Source organism: Homo sapiens, chromosome 22 (genome assembly GCF_000001405.40).
Source record: "Homo sapiens chromosome 22, GRCh38.p14 Primary Assembly".
Taxonomy (NCBI): domain Eukaryota; kingdom Metazoa; phylum Chordata; class Mammalia; order Primates; family Hominidae; genus Homo; species Homo sapiens.
This window is the reverse complement of record NC_000022.11, coordinates 44,350,810-44,370,044: the sequence shown is the minus strand read 5'-3', so window position 1 is coordinate 44,370,044 and position 19,235 is coordinate 44,350,810. Positions and strand designations below refer to the sequence as shown.

At 54.4% G+C, this 19,235-nt stretch overlaps 1 annotated feature.

The window, feature by feature from the left end:
- Positions 16,467-17,396: an enhancer, noted in NCBI's record as "H3K27ac-H3K4me1 hESC enhancer chr22:44748529-44749458 (GRCh37/hg19 assembly coordinates)". NCBI's record gives its function as "activates a minimal SCP1, AML or CMV promoter by ChIP-STARR-seq in primed H9 embryonic stem cells {active_cell/tissue: H9 hESC(primed)}" and the evidence as "EXISTENCE:reporter gene assay evidence [ECO:0000049][PMID:30033119]".

The following is a 19,235-nucleotide window of genomic DNA, read 5'->3' as shown; positions in this document are numbered from 1 at the left end:
TTCCCTGTGTGAGGGTCCCTGGTGCTGGCTGGCTTGGACCTGGGCTTCTGCCTGACTCTGCCTGTCACCTTTTCGGTAACATCAGGCAAATCTCCTTTTGTTGAGCCTCAGTTTCTCCTGCTGGCAAAATGGGGTATTAATCCTGGCCTGTCTGCCCCACCTGAAAAGATGGTGATGAGGCTCAAAGCCGTCTCCTTGTCCTCAAGCATTTAGCTGATAATGGTGGAGCACAGTTATCCCCCTGTGAAGGGTTCGTCCGGTACCGACAAAATACGCAAAAGTCTCTGTCCCTGTGGTTAACATCCTGGAGAGGGAAGGACAGGCAATCAACAACCACATAAGGGGTGACAGTAAGTGCAGAGAGAAGAAATAATAGTAGAGCAGGTAAGGTGGCCAGGGCGGGATTGCAGGCAGCTACACCAGGCAGGGGCTGGCAGTCTCCAGAGAAGGTGCCATGCGGGTCGTCCCCTGCAGGAGGTGCTCTTGGCAGCCTGCTTTTGTAACCGCCTTTGGAAATAACATCAAAAGGCTGCAGGTACAGCGCTCCAGGCAGGGGAACCAGCAAGGGCAAAGGCCTGGAGGCAGGAGGGTCGAGGCCGGCAGAGCAGGCAGACCACTGTGGGCATACATGCCGGGCGGGGGCTGGCGGCAAGGTGCCAATGCCCTACAGAGTGCTGGCCCGCTGCCTCTGCCGGACGTGAGCGTCCCAACTTTGCCCGGGTGTTGCCTGCCACCAGCTTTGTGCAGGGAAGCACTGAAGAAGACTGCTTTCTCCGTCTCTGGCCCCAAGCCCCCACCTGGGGAGGACAAATTCGTCACCGCTACCTGCCCTAGCTAAGCAGTCATGTGTTTTCCTCCCAGACAAATGAAAGAGCCCCGGCTGCTGCCTAGCCTCTGGGCCCCTCCAAGGCATGGAAGAATTAATCAGATTGGAAGCTGCTGCCAAATGTACCCACCGGCTGAAAAGACCCGCTGCAGTACAAACAAACCCAATCTCCTGCTCTGGGCAGATGCAACCTTGGAAATAAAGACGCGCTTAAACCCCGCCTCTCCCAAGAGGGCCCCCGGCTGACACCCAGTTATCTTCCTACCATTAGCCAAGGAACATTTGGAGGTTGGGTTCTCATTGACACCCCTGGAAGCCAGGCTGAATGTGGATCCCACCCTGGAGGAGTTCCCCCCGACTCCCCTGCAGCTGACCAGGGCCTTCATCTAGGTGCTCACTTGCAGGGAAGAGCTCCAAGGAAGACCCGAGGGTTGGCTGTGGGGCCACCAGAGCAAGGGTCTGTCCCTCCATCAGCAGGAAGAAGGGAGATGGCATTGGTTCTAGTGCCTATGACGCTGGGAAAGGTCTGCTGGGTGTGCAGTCAGAGGGGCTGGCTCGGTTGGACTCCCAGGCCTGCCGTGTACCAGGTGGAGGACGTTGAACAACCCATCTCAACTTTCTAGGCTTTGGTTTCCCGGTCTGTAAAATGGGCTCCCACCTGCCTCACTGCATTGCCTGGACAGTCAGATGAAACCCAACAACCTCATCCAGCGAAGGGACTCCACACCTTCAGGAAGATGTAACTGGTCCCCAGAGCAGGTATCTGTCTGTCACAGTGTTTGGGGACTGTCAGGACTTTATGAAGAAAATTAAAAGTGTTTTGCAGCTGGGTGCGGTGGCTCACACCTGTAATCCCAGCACTTTGGGAGGCCGAGGCGGGTGGATCACCTGAGGTCAGGAGTTTGAGACCAGCCTGGCCAACACGGTGAAACCCTGTCGCTACTAAAAGTACACAAAAATTAGCTGGGCGTGGTGGTGGGCACTTGTAATTCCATCTACTTGGGAGGTTGAAGCAAGAGAATGGCTTGAACTCGGGAGGAGGAGGTTGCAGTGAGCCGAGATCGCACCATTGCACTCCAGCCTAGGCTAAAAGAGCAAAACTCCATCTCAAAAAAAAAAAAAAAAAAAAAAAGAAAGGAGAAAAATGTGTTTTGCAGAACCTTGCTCTGGAATAATAATTATGTATATGTTTTATTAGGCCATTAACTAAAATATCTGTATAAATATTCTGTCTTATCATATGTGATGCATAGATACATACACTAAGATATAAAAATAAATTGTGGGGTTCTGGATCCCCTCTCCACTTAGGGACTGGGGAACTCCTTAGCTAAGCTAATTACCCCCGGATCAAAATTGGGGCCGCATTGTTCTCTGTCCTGCACAGTTCCCTGCTCGAATCGTTGCTTCCTCTGCCAGGATCCTGGCTTTTCCTACCAGAGAATGTTGAGGTTCTCTGTCAGTTTCGCTGTTAATGTGTCTTCACTAATCACGTTTCCGGGAGACTTGCCACCCCTAAAGGAGCCTGTAAAACACCTGTCCCCAGACCTAAGTCCTTGGGAATGACCCTGTGTCTCTGCATCAGGACACCTCTGCTGTTCCATCAGCCACCCTTTGAGGTCCGTGCTAGAGCTCTGAGCAGGTTTTAGAAACTTAAGCTTTTGGTGTAAAGAATAATTTTCAGGCCAGTCTGCCCTGAAAGCAATTTTTCCAATGCACAGAAGTCTTGAACACTTACACCTAATACCCAATCCTCAAATCAAACGTTAGTGGCTGTGTCAGTTAGTTTTTGCCATGTAAGAAACCAGCCCAAATCTCTGCAGCTTAAAATCAGTGATTTCTTGAGCTCATGACTCTGTGGGCTGCCTGAGCCGTTTTGGGGGCTGGCTGGGCTGAACTCTTATCTGCAGGGTAATATCATGCTCTGTGGTCAGCTGGAAGGTTGGTTGGTGATGACATGATCTCAGGTGGGCTCACTTGTTTGTCTGGTGCCTGGCAGATGGTAGCCTGGGGCCCCTCAGTTTCCCCTTGTGGCCTGTGCAGCAGACTGCCTCAGGCTCACTGACTTGGTGGCCTCAATGTTCCCAGTGTACTGAGTGGACAAACCCTAACACACTAGGGCTTTCCAAGCCTCTGTCTGCATCACACCGAAGCCGGTCACATGGGCAGGCCCAGGGTCAGTGTGGGAGGGGACAGCACAGGCCAAGGAGAGAAGGAGGGAGGGCTGTGGCCTTTTTTAGTCTATGGAAATTATTGTTTATTTAAGGAAGATATGGTTGGGGGAGGTAGGGGAAGCGGGAAGGGAACAGCTGTCACAAGTGGCTATGGGCTCACTATCTTTGCTGCTTGCTGGTATTAGGGGGGCACATGCTAGTACCAGCCAAAGTGCCATGAAAATCCGCCAATTCTACCCCAAGAGGGTGTCCAGCACTTTGTGACAAGGCTGCACTGCACAGTGGGGGCCAAAGCAGGTGAGCAGAAGCTGGAGGAGAAATAGGATGGAGAAGCTGGAGGGTGGGGTCCCAGGATGCCAGAGACCAGAGAGACCTTGAAACCCAGGATGCAGCCCACAGCCGCTTCACAATGGGGAGCTGAGTCACAGATGCCTTCAGGGGAAGCATCTGTGGCCCCACCAGGGCAGCCAAGGGGATGTGGGAGGGTGGGCTCTGTCCTCTGGCTGGCTTTCACTTTCTGTGACCTCAGGCAGGATGCTTGACCCCTCGGGGCTCGGTGGCTTTGTCTGTAAGTTGGGTCTGTTTGCTGTCTTTCCATCCTGGGGTTGTGGGAAGACTCAATGAGATAATGTGTGTAAAACACTGAAAACCATGGGTGGCTCACAGAGTGTGCACCTGGCACACAACAGCTGTCGCCGTCATAACCAAAACACAGGTTCCATTGCTTGCCCCTTGCAGAGTTCAATTAACAAGACTGAGGTCCAATATAAAGAAAGTCACTTTTTATTCCCAAGCTAGCTTAGGGGAAGAAGTACAGGCTTCCTGCCTTAAGGCTTGACTTTTGGAGCAGAAGGCAAGTGCTTTTTGAAGGGGGCCTAACATGAACGGCACACAGGGAGGAAGCGAGCAGGTTTGGGGGGTCTGTGCGCTAACTTGGTGCTTTATCTACCAGGCGGTGGTAAAACTGGTGACTGCTGGCACCTTCATGGGCAGGACTAGGTTGTAAAGCAGCTGAAAACTCTCCAGGTGGGAGAGAGTTTCGTCACGGACATCCTTTGGATCGTCGATGGACTGTTATCTCCCGAGGCAACCTCCTGGTGGGTGAGAGTTCCACTCTGGAGTGTCTAAGCACATAGCTAGATGGACTTGGCCTGTAGCAAGCCTCAGGTGCAGGGGAGGCAAAAGGTTATAATTGCATTTCTAAAGGGATAAGTAGGAAGTAGGGAATAAGGGGAATCAGAGAAAAGAGAAAGATAATAAAAAATAATAACTCATTATATTTTTCTTAGAAAAGTGGGGATACTTGGTTAGACTGTTATTACTCATACCCAGGCCTCCTGCTCCCAGCTCCATGATTTTTCCTTGGCCCTGTGTGACAGGTCTCTGTCTTCGGAACGTGGGGAGGTTTTCTCGGAAAATCCCTCCCACATCTTTCTTGGGATTCTGGTTTCACTGTTTGAGATGAATTCCTTTGAGATCAAAGTTGTCTCCACCTGCAAATGGGAGTTCCACCAGATGACGTGTGATGCTTGCAAAGTGCTGCGGGGCGCGGGGCTCCTAGCAGGTCCTCCATCCATGCAGCTGGCATTAGCATCATGGAGACGGGGAGGGGATGAATCAACAGACACGCAAGTGTGTCTGCTGGGAAGCAGCACCACAGGCCAGGAAGGGTACCCGCTGGGGCCAGCCTGCCCCATCCGATTCCAGCTCTGCTGTGTGCTGGCTGTGTGACCCTGGGGCATCCTTTAGCCTCTCTGTGCCTCAGTGGCTCCCTCTGGAAAGCAAGCATGGTAACAGGCTCCACTCAAAGGGCGCCTGTGACAATTCAACAAGTTTAACATCCATACAGCACTTTATTCATTCTTTCTCAATTCCCCCCTTCACTCCTGTCTGGCAGACTCACTCTCCCCCCTTGCAAGGAACTGCAGCTATTTCACGTCGTTTTTCCAGGGGCTTTGGGTAATGCAAAGTCCAGGCGGCTCTTGTATTAAATTTGAGACTCTTAGAATTTAGAGTTTCCTCCTCCGCCAGCTCAGCTCAGCTCAGCTCCGCATAGTCCAGGGATCGGGGAGGGGTGCGGTCAGTTTCTCCTCTGTCCCCTCCCTCTTGCTGGGTGTTGCTCTTGCCCCTCCAGGGCTGGGCCTGCCCAGGGAAGCAAGGAAGGATTTTTTTGGCAGGGGAGCGGGGGCGCCGGGTCTCCCTGGACAGACACGGCTGTGAGCTGAGGCTGGGCCTCTTGGGTGGTCCTGGAGACCCTCCCCATGGGTTCCTGATTGGCAATGCCGCCCCCTGCTCCAGCTTCCAGGATCCACCCTTTCTTCTGGGTCCAATTTGGCTGAAAGAACAAGTCCTTTTGTCCCACAGCTCCTAGAGTAGCCCAGAGTTTGTTCCCAGACCTTAGCATAAACCCCAAGATGTCCCCAGGGGACAGTTGTTAAGCACTTGGCTGGCTGGCTGGCACCCCTCATCCTTCTCCTTAAGCAGCTACCAGCTCATGTTGCACCCTTGTACCAATTACAGTCAGGCCCCTTCCTCCAGGGTGACCTCCTGGCTTGGCTTGTGGGGGATGGCTCAGTCCTACCCCCATTCGCACCCCAGCCAAGGCCCCACTGACAACCTTAGGGGCCGCTGCCTAGAGGGACTTCTGCTTGAACCCCAGCAGCCACGGGCCCTGGGCTGGCTTCTCTGGCTGACTCAGGAGGCTGTCCCCAGCGCCTCCATCCCTGTGCTCCGTCCTCCCACTGTGCTCCCCTCATTTCGGCATTTATCGCTCTGGCCTGGAGGTCACTCCTTCCATGCATGTCTTCAAAGGCAGAAACCGTGTCCTGGGCAGGCTCTGGCACAGAGTGGCAGTTCCATAAATAACCAGATGAAGCCTCTGTCCCCCGGGGATGGGGGTGTGTGACCTGGGATGTGGCAGTCCCAGGGCCTCTTCCCTGTGCCTGAGGCCCAGCCCCTCCTTCCTCAGGTCAGGGCGAGCCCCCCCAGGGGGAGGTGGGGTCAGGATGATCCCACCACTGCAATTATAAATGCGGCAGGATGGAGGATGGGGTGAGCAGGGGCTGAGGGGAGCCACTCTGATGATTGACAGGGAGTATCCAGGGTGGACAGGTTGCCCTGCCTCTGGACCTTGGTGTTCTCATCTGTGAAATGGGGGCAGTGAGCCAGGCCCGTTTAAGTCAGGGGACTCTGGGCTCCCTCACACAACTAGCGCTCCTGTGGGGACGCTTGGCCTGTCTCTTGGCCAGCCCAGAGCGGCCGTCTGGCTCAAGTGCTGACTCAAAGTGCGTCAGACAAGGGGCCAGAGCGGGATTCCCGGAATGCCCTGGAAAAGTGCTGGCTACCGTCCAGGCGCCGCCGCCAACCATGTGGAGTCTCTCTCATTCCACAGGGAACCCTCATTACTCTCCGGACTGGCGTTCCTGATCCAGCCGGGCTGGCCCTTCCAGAGGGCTGGGAGCCATCAGGGCCGGGGCTGTGGCGAGCAGAGGGATGTGCCAGGTGGTCGTCGTGGCCTCATGTCCTGGGTGTGAGCCTGGGCTGGTCTGAGAGCACTTGGGGCTCGCTCACGCAGGCTGCTGAGCTGGGGGCTCCTAAGCCAGTGACACAGGGCCATGGAGGAAGGAAGGAGCCGGGGTGAGTCACCATGCCTTGAGGGCCCCAAGTCCTAGGGTGAGGTCCTTCATCAGACACTCATAGTCAGGCACCAGGGGCTGCAGATGGCCCCATGCTCCCCGCCCTCCCTGCCCCCACAAAGCCGGCAGTCCACCCAACGAGGCCGAGTCTCTGGAATCAGGCCACATCTCTCTCAGCAACACAAGGCAGCTCCTGGTGGGGAGCGGGGGAAGCCCATTTTACAGATGAGGACACTGGGGCTTAGCAGGTCTAGGGGACTTACTGCAGACCCCGCAGCCAGGACGTAGCAGGGCCACTCGCTCATTCAGTCCTTCAACTACCGTGGGCTGAGAGGCAGGATAGCCAGCGTCTGCACACTTGGGCTAGGAGCCCAGCAGTGCCAGGGGTGACTCCTGGCACCCCCACGTTCTAGGCGTTTACCTTGGACAAGTCACAGCCCCTCTGGGCTTCAGATTCTTTATCTGTGAAATGGGTCTGACACAGTATTTGCCATGGGCATTGAGCATGGTATAAGCCAGCCCATGTCAAGGGCTCAGGGTGTGGCCAGCACACAGCCAGTGGGTGCCCATGTTTGCTGCTATGGTCAACTGGATGGAGCCTTGTGCTGGGTCCTGGGTGCTGGGAAGGGAAGTGAGGGAGACCAAATCCCTGCCTTTGAGATGTTCTTTAGTCTTGTGTGTAAAATAGGGACAAAAATATCTAGCTTCCTTAGGAAGAAAAATAAACAAGATAACTTACAGAAAGCATTTCTTGGAGCCAGGCGCTGCTTGGAGGGTCATTCAATAGGCATCGGTCACCTTCTGCATTTCCCTGGGTGTAACTTTCAGACCAACTGGTGTAAGCTACTTTGGACTCCATTGAATGGACCCACCAGGGCTCACTCAACTGCTTGTTCCTCTATGTGGTTTTTCAACCAGGATGCTACGGCCGAAAGTATCTTTGGAACTAGAGCGTCCCTAAGAACAGTCCCTGGAGGCAGAAGCCGGGCCCTGGCTATAACTAACCCCTGGCTGTAACTAACCCCTGGCTGTAACTAACCCCTGGCTATAACTAACCCCTGGCTGTAACTAACCCCTGGCTATAACTAACCCCTGGCTGTAACTAACCCCTGGCTATAACTAACCCCTGGCTATAACTAACCCCTGGCTGTAACTAACCCCTGGCTATAACTAACCCCTGGCTGTAACTAACCCCTGGCTATAACTAACCCCTGGCTATAACTAACCCCTGGCTGTAACTAACTCCTGGCTGTAACTAACCCCTGGCTATAACTAACCCCTGGCTGTGCTCTGTCAGGGACGGTGGAAGGCATTCCTTTGAGAGAAACATTTGGGATCCTCTGGGTAGAGAATCGTCTTGGACAGGCTTGGGGCTGGGAGCCCTGCCTCCTCTAGAACTGAACCCCAGTAAAACTGCCAGCCAGGGGCCCACGGCGGGTACCCTGCAGGGGGACTCCAGCCTGAGAAGGTCTGCAGTGCGGCTTGTGTTTTGCTCGAGTTGCCATATACCAAGGCAGCACCGATGGACGGGGCAGCTTCAACAACAGACAGCCATCTTCTCACCACTCAGGAGGCCAAGGTCCCAGCTGGGTGGTTCCTCCTGAGGCCTCTCTTCCTTGGTGCGTAGATGCCACCTTCTCCCAGTGTCTTTGGCCACCTGATTGTCCCTCTGTGGGTGTCTGTGTCCCAGTCTCCTCTTCTTATAAGGAAACCAGTCCTACTGGATTAGGGCCCACCCCATTGACTGCATTCTAACTTAGTCACCTCTTTAAAGGCCCTGTCTCCAGGTACAGCCACATGTGGAGGTATGGGAGTTAGGATTTCAACACATGAATTTTGGGGGCCATAACCGAGCCCATAGCATGGGTGATTCATCAGAGTTCTAGGATTTAAAGAGCCTGAGTTATTCGAGACTCCAGGATCACTACCCCAGTAACTGCTGCGACAGCACCCTTACCCCTGCCCTTCTCAGGGGAAGCCAGGTCTAGGGGAGACAGTGACTTGTCCAGGCTCTCACAGTCAGGGCTGAGGCAGAATTGAACCCAGGCCTGGTTCATTCCAGAGCCTGACGGTGCCAGTCGGGAGCCCAGTGCTGGAAGGAGCTGGGAGGAGACAGAACTTGAGACCTATTTACCTTGGCACCCGCAGTGCCCGCTTGGGCTTGGCACACAACTGCTGTTCGGAAGTTGTTGGATGAATTCGACAATGACACATTTGGGCACAGTCCTTGCCCTGGGGGCACACACACCCCCCGATGAGAAGGCAGGCTCGCCGGCACACACCCGAACACCAAGATCACCGAGGCCAGAGCCAGGCCACTTTTCCTTTCTGGTTTGGGCCCTGCCAGCCTCCACACTGGGCCAGTGTGGAGCTGACCTTTCCACGTCTGCTCTGCAAAGCCCAAGCCAATTCCTAAGCCCTCGGCTGTCCCAGAACTGAGTCATGACGGAAGCTGGTGGGATTCCTGGGGGGACAGATCTAGCCCCCACACGTCCTTGCGTGCCTCCATCCATGCCAGCCGGCTCCAGCCCATACCACACCACCCAGAAATCCGCAGCTAGCACACGTTTCCACTGGAATGAAGCACTGCCCTGGCCCTGGCTCCGAATTCCTTGCCGCTCGCAGTCTCCAGCCGGCCGCCAGCTGTAACAGCCTGAGATGGCCTGCAGGGCAGGGAGCTGCAGTAGCAAAGAACATTTGTTTTCATCCGGTTGGAATTTTCTCTCCAAATTACACTGGCTGCCGTGGGCCTACTGTGCGAAGCTCCATTTACAGAAACCCTGGGCCACAGTCTGGGCATGACCTGCTCTCCCCAGAGGCGCCTTTCCCAGCTCGGCACCATGCTACCCAACATTCGCGTGCCCTGGGTTTCCAGGCCCCTTCCTGCCTCTGAGCCTTTGCCTACGCCGTTCTCAGTCTCAGAAATCCCTTCCCAGCCCACCCTGCTGCAGCCCCGGGTGGGGCAGGGCAAGGCCCACACTTGCGTCTCCATTGTACTCCTCACCGGCTGCCAGACTTAAGTGGGCTGCTTTGCCTCTCTGAGCCTCGCTTTCTTGGTTTCTTCATCTGTGGAATGAGAATAGGCTTGGGGGAAGCCTGTGTCCTGCAGGCAGTGAGGGGATTGGCAGGAGCCAAGGTGAGAGAGCTTTTGCAAAGCAGGGTAGCTTTTTTTTTGCGACGGAGTCTTCTTCTGTCGCCAGGCTGGGGTGCAGTGGCACGATCTCGGCTCACTGCAACCTCCTGGATTCAAGAGATTCTCCTGCCTCAGCTTCCCAAGTAGCTGGGACTACGGGCTTACACCACCATGCCCAGCTACTTTTTGTATTTTTAATAGAGATGGGGTTTCACCATGTTGGCCAGGATAGTCTCGATCTCTTGACCTTGTGATCCGCCCTCCTTGTCCCCCAAAAGTTCTGTGATTACAGGTGTGAGCCACTGTACCCGGCCAGCGGATAGCTTTGAAGGCTGCCTCAGCCAGCCTGCCCCTGGCCCTTTGCACACACGCCCATGCAGCCCCATGGGGAGGATGGCTCCTCTCCAGCTAGCCCCGCAGCATGCCATCATCGCTAACCCCATGGGCCGAGCTTGGGCCCATGAAATCCTCATGACTCTCTCTGGGGAGTAAGTGTCCTCACTACCTGTTTTCAGGATTAGGAAGCTGAGTTGAGCAAGGGCTGAGTTCACCCCACCAGGAAGCGGCTGAACTGGGACTCAGCTCTGCAGCTGAGGAGTCCCAAGCACCAACCTCACCAAGGTCTGCTGGACCGCAGGTGGGGGCCCAGGTAACACGCATGTCCCCACACGTGTGGTCTACCCCTCATCCAGGGTGCTCATCCTGGGGTCCCTCTGGGCCTAGGCACATTGCCGCCTAACCAAATCTGTGTTCTGTTAGCAAGAAACTGGGGAGATGGCTCCCATTAAGGTGCACACAGTTACAGCGGAGGACTGGTACTGTCCCTGATGGACACCCAGAGGATGCCTTCTGGACACCAAGGGGGCCTGAGCCACTGCCTCAGCAACACCCAGCACTGAGCCCTTTGCCGCCCTCACCCTGCCAACCTAATTCAGCATCTCTTTCCTCCCCTGCTGACCCCAAACTTCGACTGAGAACCTCGGGTCTGTCACACACACTGGGGTCCCCAGACCTCTGGGTCCAGTACCTGCTGGATCCTCAGCGTGCCCCCGCCACCTCCCCCTGGCTCTGGGCATTTGTCCCGGCCCCTCACCACCTCCTAGGATACCTCGAAGCCCTGCCACGTCCCTGGGGAGACTTGGACATTCACACTGTGGTGCGCAACCTCCTGCTCCTAAGTGTCTCCCCCTCCACGTGACAGAGCGCCGTCCTCGACCAAACTTTAGCCAGGTGTCTCTGAGCCCTCTTCTGGCACAGGCCTTGACCTTGGCTGGCAAAGAATCCCGCTAAGTCAGTTCAGGGAGAGAATCCCCCACCCTTGATCTCAGATCAAGTTCCTCTCTCCCACTCTTGATCGTTAAGTCCTTGTCCCTTTAGCAAGAATCCCACCGGGCCTGGGTAGCAGGAAGTCCTCTACCCTTGATGTCAAATCTAGTCCTTCTGAGTAATTTTCCATCCACTGCCCCTCACTCTGCTCCTTGGCCATAAATTTCCAGCTGTCCTTCCTGTCTTCAAGGTTGAGTTCAAACTCTGTTCGCTGTTACAATCATCTTTGGTAAAGTCTTCTTTGCCATTTTTAAACACGGGTCAGGTGCAATTTTTCTCTTTAACACATACCCCTTAGCCCTCCACCAGCTTAACCATCCCCCCGAAACTGCTCAGCCCTGAAATCTCAGTCCATGTCCTGGTTTAGAGCAAGCTTGACATTCCAAGTGATAATTTCACCTCCCAAGGGGGCTCTCTCAGCTCCCTGCCTCTTCGTTTCTTATTCGTAAAATAGGTACAGAGGATTGAAAGGATATCAGGCGCCGCACAGAGCCTGGCTCAGAACAGGCACACGGCAAAAGTGTGTTTCTCTCTCCTTCTTTGGCTCTTGTTTACAAGAGGCCTTAAACCTGCCAGCAAAGAAGGATTGCACGTTGCTGGGATATTCTGTCTTCCAACGGGGAAAACAAAATCCCAGGTGGTGAGCGAGCGGCAACTCCCAGAAACGGTGACATCTGCCCAGCTCCAGCTTCCCCATTTATCCCTCGAGTTCAGTGCTCAAAAGGACAGGCAGGTGGCCAACCGCAGAGACTAAATTGAATGAAAAGAACCAGGATGCCATTGGATGGTCCAGGCTCGGCCGCGGCAGCGTGTGGGTCGTCAGCGAGACTGGCTCAGCGTTCTGTTTTCTCTCCAACTGGAACAGCGGGGCAGGGAGCCGTGAAATGTTTCAGATGTTTGTTGGAGTTTCTTTTCTTATCCTCACGCATGTAGCTTTGGGAGCTGGCTGGAATGTAAGCATGACCCGCCTGACTCCCTTGCAGGGGAACCAGTATCTTTACTTCAGCTGGCTTTGACAGCACAGTCTGGGGACCCTGAGGCTCAACTGATGTGACAACTCTGAGTCTCTCCTGGGGGCAGGCCTTGGTGGCCTGTGAACTCTTGCTCCTGGTTTTTCATTTCAGGAGGCTCAGAGAAGGCAAGGGGCTGGCCCGAGGTCACACAGCAAATAAGCTGGGAGCCCAGAAGCTTGGATTCTCTTCCTTTTATGTTTATTTCAAAAGCCACGTGCTCCAAGAAGCCTTCCTGCACATGCCACCTTATTCCAGGCTGGGCCAGGTGCCCTCTGGACCCCCGAAGTCCCCGAGTTCAGAGCCCTGATCGTGCAGCATTGCAATTGCTTTTAATGTAGCTGCGTCCTTGGGGCAGACATGGTATTGTGTGGGCACAGAGGCAGCAACAAGTGGTGAATGAGTGAATGTCTGCACAATGCATGCAGATCTTTCCCTTATCCTCAAGGTGGCCTCCTCCCCTGCACATAGTGGTGAGCAGAGCCCCTAACCACGAGGCTCTTTTATCTCCAGGATGGCCAGCTCAGACCTGGAAACTGACAGCTAATTAAAATAACACGATTCATAAAAACAACAGTAAAAATAACTGTCACATTACTGCCGCCAGCAATTACTGAGCATCGCTACAAACCAGGTGCATTTTCTGTCATATTTTATTGAAGGAGCGTGACAGCCGTAGGAGGTGGGTATTATTATCCTAATTTTTCAAGTGATCAACTGGAGACTCAGAGAAGCGACTCCTTATTTGAGGAATGAAGGTTCCACTGGCAAATGAGACAGGTCAGAACAGCGGAGGGCACAGGGTGAGGGCTGGGGACTGGCCAGTTTGTGCTTGGCAATGACATTAGGGCTGTCCTAACGAAGTTTCGCAGACTGAGTGGCTCAAGTGATGGAAATGGGCTGGATGCGGTGGCTCACGCCTATAATCCCAGCACTTTGGGAGGCCGAGGCAGGTGGATCACCTGAGGTCAGGAGTTCGAGACCAGCCTGGCCAACATGGTGAAACCCCGCCTCTACTAAAAATACAAAAAAGTAGCCAGGTGTGGTGGTGCATGACTGTAATCCCAGCTACTTGGGAGGCTGAGGCAGGAGAATCACTTGAACCCGGGAGGTGGAGGTTGCAGTGAGCTGAGATCACGCCACTGCACTCCAGCCTGGGTGATGGAGTGAGACTCCGTCTCAAAAACAAAAAACAAACAAACAAAACAATGTAAATGTATTCCTTCACAGTTCTAGAGGCTGGAAGTCCAAGATTAAGGTGTCAGCAGGTTAGTTTTTCTGAGGACTCCAAGGGAAAGGTCTGTTCCAGGCCTCTCTCCTGGTTTCTGGGGTTTGGCTGGCAATCTTTGGCATTCTGTGGCTTGTAGATGCATCATCCCAATCTCTGCCTCCCCTTCTTCATGTGGTGTTTTTCCTGTCTTCAAGGTCCGCCTGCCCCACTCTTTTTTTTTTTTTTTTTTTTTTGAGACAGGGTCTTGCTCTGTTGCCCAAGCTGGAGTGGAGTGCAGTGGCTGGATCAAGGTTCACTGCAGCCTCAACTTCCTGGGCTCAAATGATCCTCCCACCTCAGCCTCCCCAGTAGCTGGAACTACAGGCATGCACCACCATGCCCAGCTAATATTTTTACTTTTACTTTTGTAGAGATGAGGGTCTCACTATTTTACCCAGGCTGGTCTCAAACTCCTGGACTCAAGTTATCCTCCTGCCTTGGCCTCACCAAATGCTGAAATTACAGGCATGATCCATTGCGCCTGGACTCAAATTTCCCTTTTTTATAAGGACACAGTCATACTGAATTAGAGCACACTCCAGTACGACCTTATCTTAACTAATTATTGCTGCAACAATCCTATTTCCAAATAAAGTCACATTCTGAGGGATGGGGGTTTAGAACATCAACATATGAAGGGTGGGGGCACAGTTCAGCCCCTAATAGTAAGTTCAGGGCAGTATCCAGGGGGCTGCAAGTGAGCTGAGCCAGCCACAGAATCAGTGGGGCCCGGCCAAGCACTGCTTGGTACTGGCAATGGGTTAGCTGCTACAGAGGGGGCCGATGGGGGCCACTGTGGGCAGCAATGCAAGTGGGGAGACCAGAAGCTTCTCAGGGAAGTGTCGCCTCAGTGCCCCATTGAAGCAAATGGCTCCACCCCCAGCTAGATCCTCAAATCAGAAACCTAGGATGTCCTTGCCCCTCTGCATTCCTTGGCCTGCAGATTCGAGCCTCCCTCCCCATCTTCTAAAGAACAGAATCCGTTCACTCCTTGCACATAAGCAAGCACGTGTATAATCTAACAGATGGCAATGAATGCCTCAGGGGAAGAGCTGAGAAGGGGAGTGGGAAGCATCAGGAGGTGAGGATGCTTGGAAAACGACCTGTCAGCAGAGGCATGGAGGAAGGCGAGGCAGCCACGGGCATCTCTGGGGACAGCAGAACTCTCTGGGAGTGAGAGCGGCCAGTGCAAAGACCCCGAAGCAGGAGTGTGTTTGACGTGGCCCCAGAGCAGCAAGGAGGCCAGTGTCCCTTGGGGGAGGAAGAGGTGGGTGGAGAACTCGGGAAAGGAGTTTAGAAGCAGATGGGTCATCCTATGCACCCCCTGACACAGAACTTGGTCTCTGGCCCAGCTTTTTTCCCTTCACTTCCCCATCTGGTGCCAGGAGAAGCTCCCATGTCCAAATTCCAGTCCTAGATCACATCCAGGCCCCCGGGCTGGTCCTCCCTATGTAATGAGCCTGGCTCCCAAGCTAGCAAGAACAAACAGGCAGGATCTTCATTATTGAAATCACTCTGTGTAATGCTATCATAAAACCCACAGGGACAGGCCAGGCGCGGTGGCTCACACCTGTAATCCCAGCACTTTGGGAGGCCAAGGCAGGTGGATTATGAGGTCAGGAGTTCGAGACCAGCCTGGCCAACATAGTGAAACCCTGTCTCTACTAAAAATACAAAAAAATTAGCCAGGCGTGGTGGCACGTGCCTGTAATCCAGCTACTCGGGAGGCTGAGGCAGGAGAATCACTTGAACCCGGGAGGCGGAGGTTGCAGTGAGCCGAGATCATGACACTGCACTCCAGCCTGGGTGACAAAGCAAGACTCCGTCTCTCTCTCTCTCTCTCTCTCTCTCTCTCACACACACACACACACACACACACACACACACACAAACCCATGAGTACAGCCATGAAGAAAATCCCCAGAAATAGTGAAATAAAGACCATAAGCTCACTACCAAAAGAAACGAAATTGGCAAAAACTGCAAAGGGGAATCACAATCTTTCTGAATTTTCTCCTTGCTTCGGCTGAATTGCCACAAAGTACTTCCTTCTTCCTTAGGCTTTAATGGGCCCATGTAGACCTGTCACCGTGCTTGGCACAGGCTTGGTTTCTGATGGATGAAACAAAGATATGAGCCACTTGCTCATTGGGAACAGAACCCAACTCCCCGCCCGGGGTCTGCCCAGTGTTCCCAGGGTCCTGGGCAGCTGCTGATCCCAAAGGTGCTTCCCCAAGAGCCCATTCATTCATTCATTCATTCAGCAGATTAGTATTGAGGTCCTAGAGGTGCCAGGCCCTGGGACGTAGCAGAGGGTAAGGCAGATGCAGACCTAGCCCTCGTGTGGCTGAAGCTCCAGATCAAAGGGGCATGGGTGACAGCGTGGTTGATAGTAAATTGCACAGATGTTCCGGAGGTGGGGAGCCGTGGCAGGAAACATAACTGCAAAGAACAGGGAAAGGGGAATCAGGATAGGGAGAAAGTGGGGAGGGCAGGTAGAGATCTTGAACAGTGAGATGGCCAAGGCCTTACAGAAAAGTCGGTGCTTTAGAAAACATGTGACATGGCCGGCTGCAGTGGCTCACGCCTGTAATCCCAACACTTTGGGAGGCCGAGGCAGGCGGATCACCTGAAGTCAGGAGTTTGAGACCAGCCTGGCCAACGTGGTGAAACCCCGTCTCTGCTAAAAATGCAAAAATTAACACGGTGTGGTGGTGGGCGCCTGTAATCCCAGCTACTCAGGAGGCTGAGGCAGGAGAATCACTTGAACCAGGAGGTGGAGGTTGCAGTGAGCTGAGATCGTGCCATTGCACTCCAGCCTGGGTGACAGAGTGAGACTCCATCTCAAAAAAACAAAAAATGTGACAGAAGCAAGCCCATTAGCCCAGCGGGTATCTTAGGGCAAGTGTGTTCCAGAAAGAGGGTGGTGAGTGACTTTGCTCTGGTGAGGTAGGGACTGCAGAGGGGCTGAACGGTGAGCAGGGTCGTGGTCTCCCCACCTTCAGAGGGGTCCCTTGTGCTGCTTGCTGAGAATAGAGAGGGGGAGAGGGGTTTTACCCGCAGCTTCTCCACACACGTCTTGGCTGTGTGCTTCTGCCATTACCAGATGACCTGAAAGCTTCCCCAGGGCTGGGAAGAGAGTGCTGGAATAAGGCTTGGAAAGTGAGTGCTCTCACCAGCTCTGTTGCTGTCCCACTGGGTGTTCTCAGCCAAGTCACTCAGCCCCCTGAAGGCTTATACAAAATGTCAGTTGAAATCGCCACCCGGCCAGGCTGTCGTGGGGTCTAAGCGGGAGAGTGCATGGGTACTTGCTGTAAAATCGCAGGTGCTCCCTGAGGTCTAAGGAGCCTTGGGATGAGCCACCTTGACTCAGAGCGAATTCTCAAAAAGGGACATATATGCACAGAGCACCTGCCGCCTGCCACCTGTCGGAAGGCGCAGAAAGTGGGGGCGATTGGGGGCCACCTGGGTTCTCCAAAACCAGGAATTTACCTGCAAGCAATAGGTCCCTCAAGCAGCTCCCTCCTCGGGGCTCCTGGCTCGAATCCTTCTCCTTGCCTCGCATCCCTTCAATAGCACCCTGGGGCTGGGAAGAGACACTGCCAGGAGGCCCAGTCTAGAAACCTCCATGCTCAACTCATCCTGTTAGAGGCGGATAGAAAAGAGGGGTCTCCAGGTCCCTGAGCCTCAGAGCCCGGGGCAGGCAGGAAGAAGGCTGTGGGGCCCACACATCTCACCCCAATGGGCCCAGCAGCAAGCCCCACCAGCCTGGCGGAGACAGAGAAAACTGGGAGCCCTGAAGAGTCACAGGGCTGTGTTGTGTTTCCTCTTCTGCAAGAAAGGAGGGGGCGGGCCAGCTGACCATCAAGAGGAAACTGAGGAGGGGGGTGAGGACAGTGAGGGGAGCTGTGGCAGTGCGGTGGACGTGGTGGCCAAAGCGGTCCTCTCCTGAGGCCCAAGTACCCAGGGCACCTGGGCCACAGGTAGTGACCAATGAGGACCAAGCCCAGAGGAGTCCCCTCCCCTCTACTGTGGTCTCCACTGGCTGTGACTGGGTGTGGGGCCATCGTGAGGGGGTACCAGCCCTGGGCCTACTCCTGAAAACCCCAGGAGGAGGGGCACCAGTGACAGATGTCCCTGACACCTCCCTCACCACCACCCCCAGCCCGCCAGACCTGCTTCCTGAAGGAAACTATGGGAATGGTTCAACTGCAAGCAAATTGGCCACATTGTAAGTCAAGCCAGGCTGTCCGGGGCTTTTCCTGCTTGTAAAATGAACAAGACCTGCAGTTCTTGGTCTCTGGGAATCACAAACCTCTCTGAGCTTTGAAAGAACCTGGAATCCTCTCTTCCAAGAGGCGCACACATGTGAATGCACACACTCACACAAAGGGAGCCTCCCTGACCAGAGAGCCTCTGGGGCCCCTTCCACCTGGGACTGAGTTTCCACTGAGGTTTGTCCTTACCCAATCAGAAACTGAGAACCACAGTGGGGGTGAGGGTGAGGTTGAGGGGTCAGGAACACTTGTCACCAAAATTCCCAGAATTGCCCACAAAATGCCATGTCAGCAGGTTCCTGTATGCAGGCAACTAACCCATCATTAAATTCCCCGAGTCTCCGTCAGCCGCAGGCTCTCAATGGCCCTCAGCCAATTCTTCAGATTCTTCCCCCGTGATGCAGGCAAAGCCAGGTTCCCACTGCAGCCCTGCCATCGGTTTCGCCATCTGGTTCCCCCATCAGGCAGGGACTGCTTCCACCTGCCGTGTTCATTGCCTACTTAATATCAGTGAGGTGACGGGGGCTGGGGTGATGACACTGTGGCTGAGACAGGGTTAAATTGATCACATACTTTATGGCACCCCCCGCCCCAAGATGAGTCATTGTTTCAGGGGGAGGTTCAGGCATTTGTGGGAACTGGTGTTTTGTTTTGCTTTGTTTTTGAGATAGAGTCTCGCTCTTGTCACCCAGGCTGGAGTGCAATGGTATAATCTCGGCTCACTGCAACCTCTGCCTCCCGGGTTCAGGTGATTCTCCTGTCTCAGCCTCCTGAGTAGCTGGGATTACAGGCGCCCGCCACCATGCCTGGCTAATTTTTGTATTTTTAGTAGAGATGGGGTTTCACCATGTTGGCCGGGCTGATCTCGAACTCCCGACGTCAAGTGATCAGCCCACCTCGGCCTCCCAAAGTGCTGGGATTAGAAGCGTGCGCCACCACGTCCGGCCTGTGGGAATTGTTTTAAATGTCAGCTGAGAAGAGGAAACATTCAAAAGTGGAAGGGAGACAGGGGAAACAGCATTTTCTGACCACTCACCCCCGCACAGGGCATCTGTCCAAAGCTTGACTAGGAAAACATACTCAGAGAGCTCTGGTAACTTACCTCAGGTCACACAGCAAGTGAGAAGCACAGTGGCAGGCAAACCCAGGCCTGCTGGGCTAGTTTCTACCCCCGTCACATGACCCTGGGCCACCTCTCAGGCACAGCAGAAACCCCTGGGCAGAAACACGTCCAGGAAGACAAACCTGGAAAGCTGACAAGTTTGGAAAGTCGGGGGATCTCGTGCGAGGCTGAGACCTTTGGGGCCCCTGGGCAGGTGGGCTGGGGGGAGCTGTGCCATGCATGTGAACACCAGGCTGACGAAATTTGTCTCCATTCATACTTTCTAGTGTGGGGGAGGGGTGTCTGTGAACTTGGGGTGTCCCCACCCCCCGTGACTCCTGGACAGAGGCCACTTGTTCCTCAGAAGCAACCCCATCACCTGGGAGGAACTGGCAGGGGTGGTCTCAGGACCTGGCAGCCCCCCGCATAAATGGGGATGGGGCTCACACCCCCTGAGGCCACAGGCAAATCAGTTGAACCAC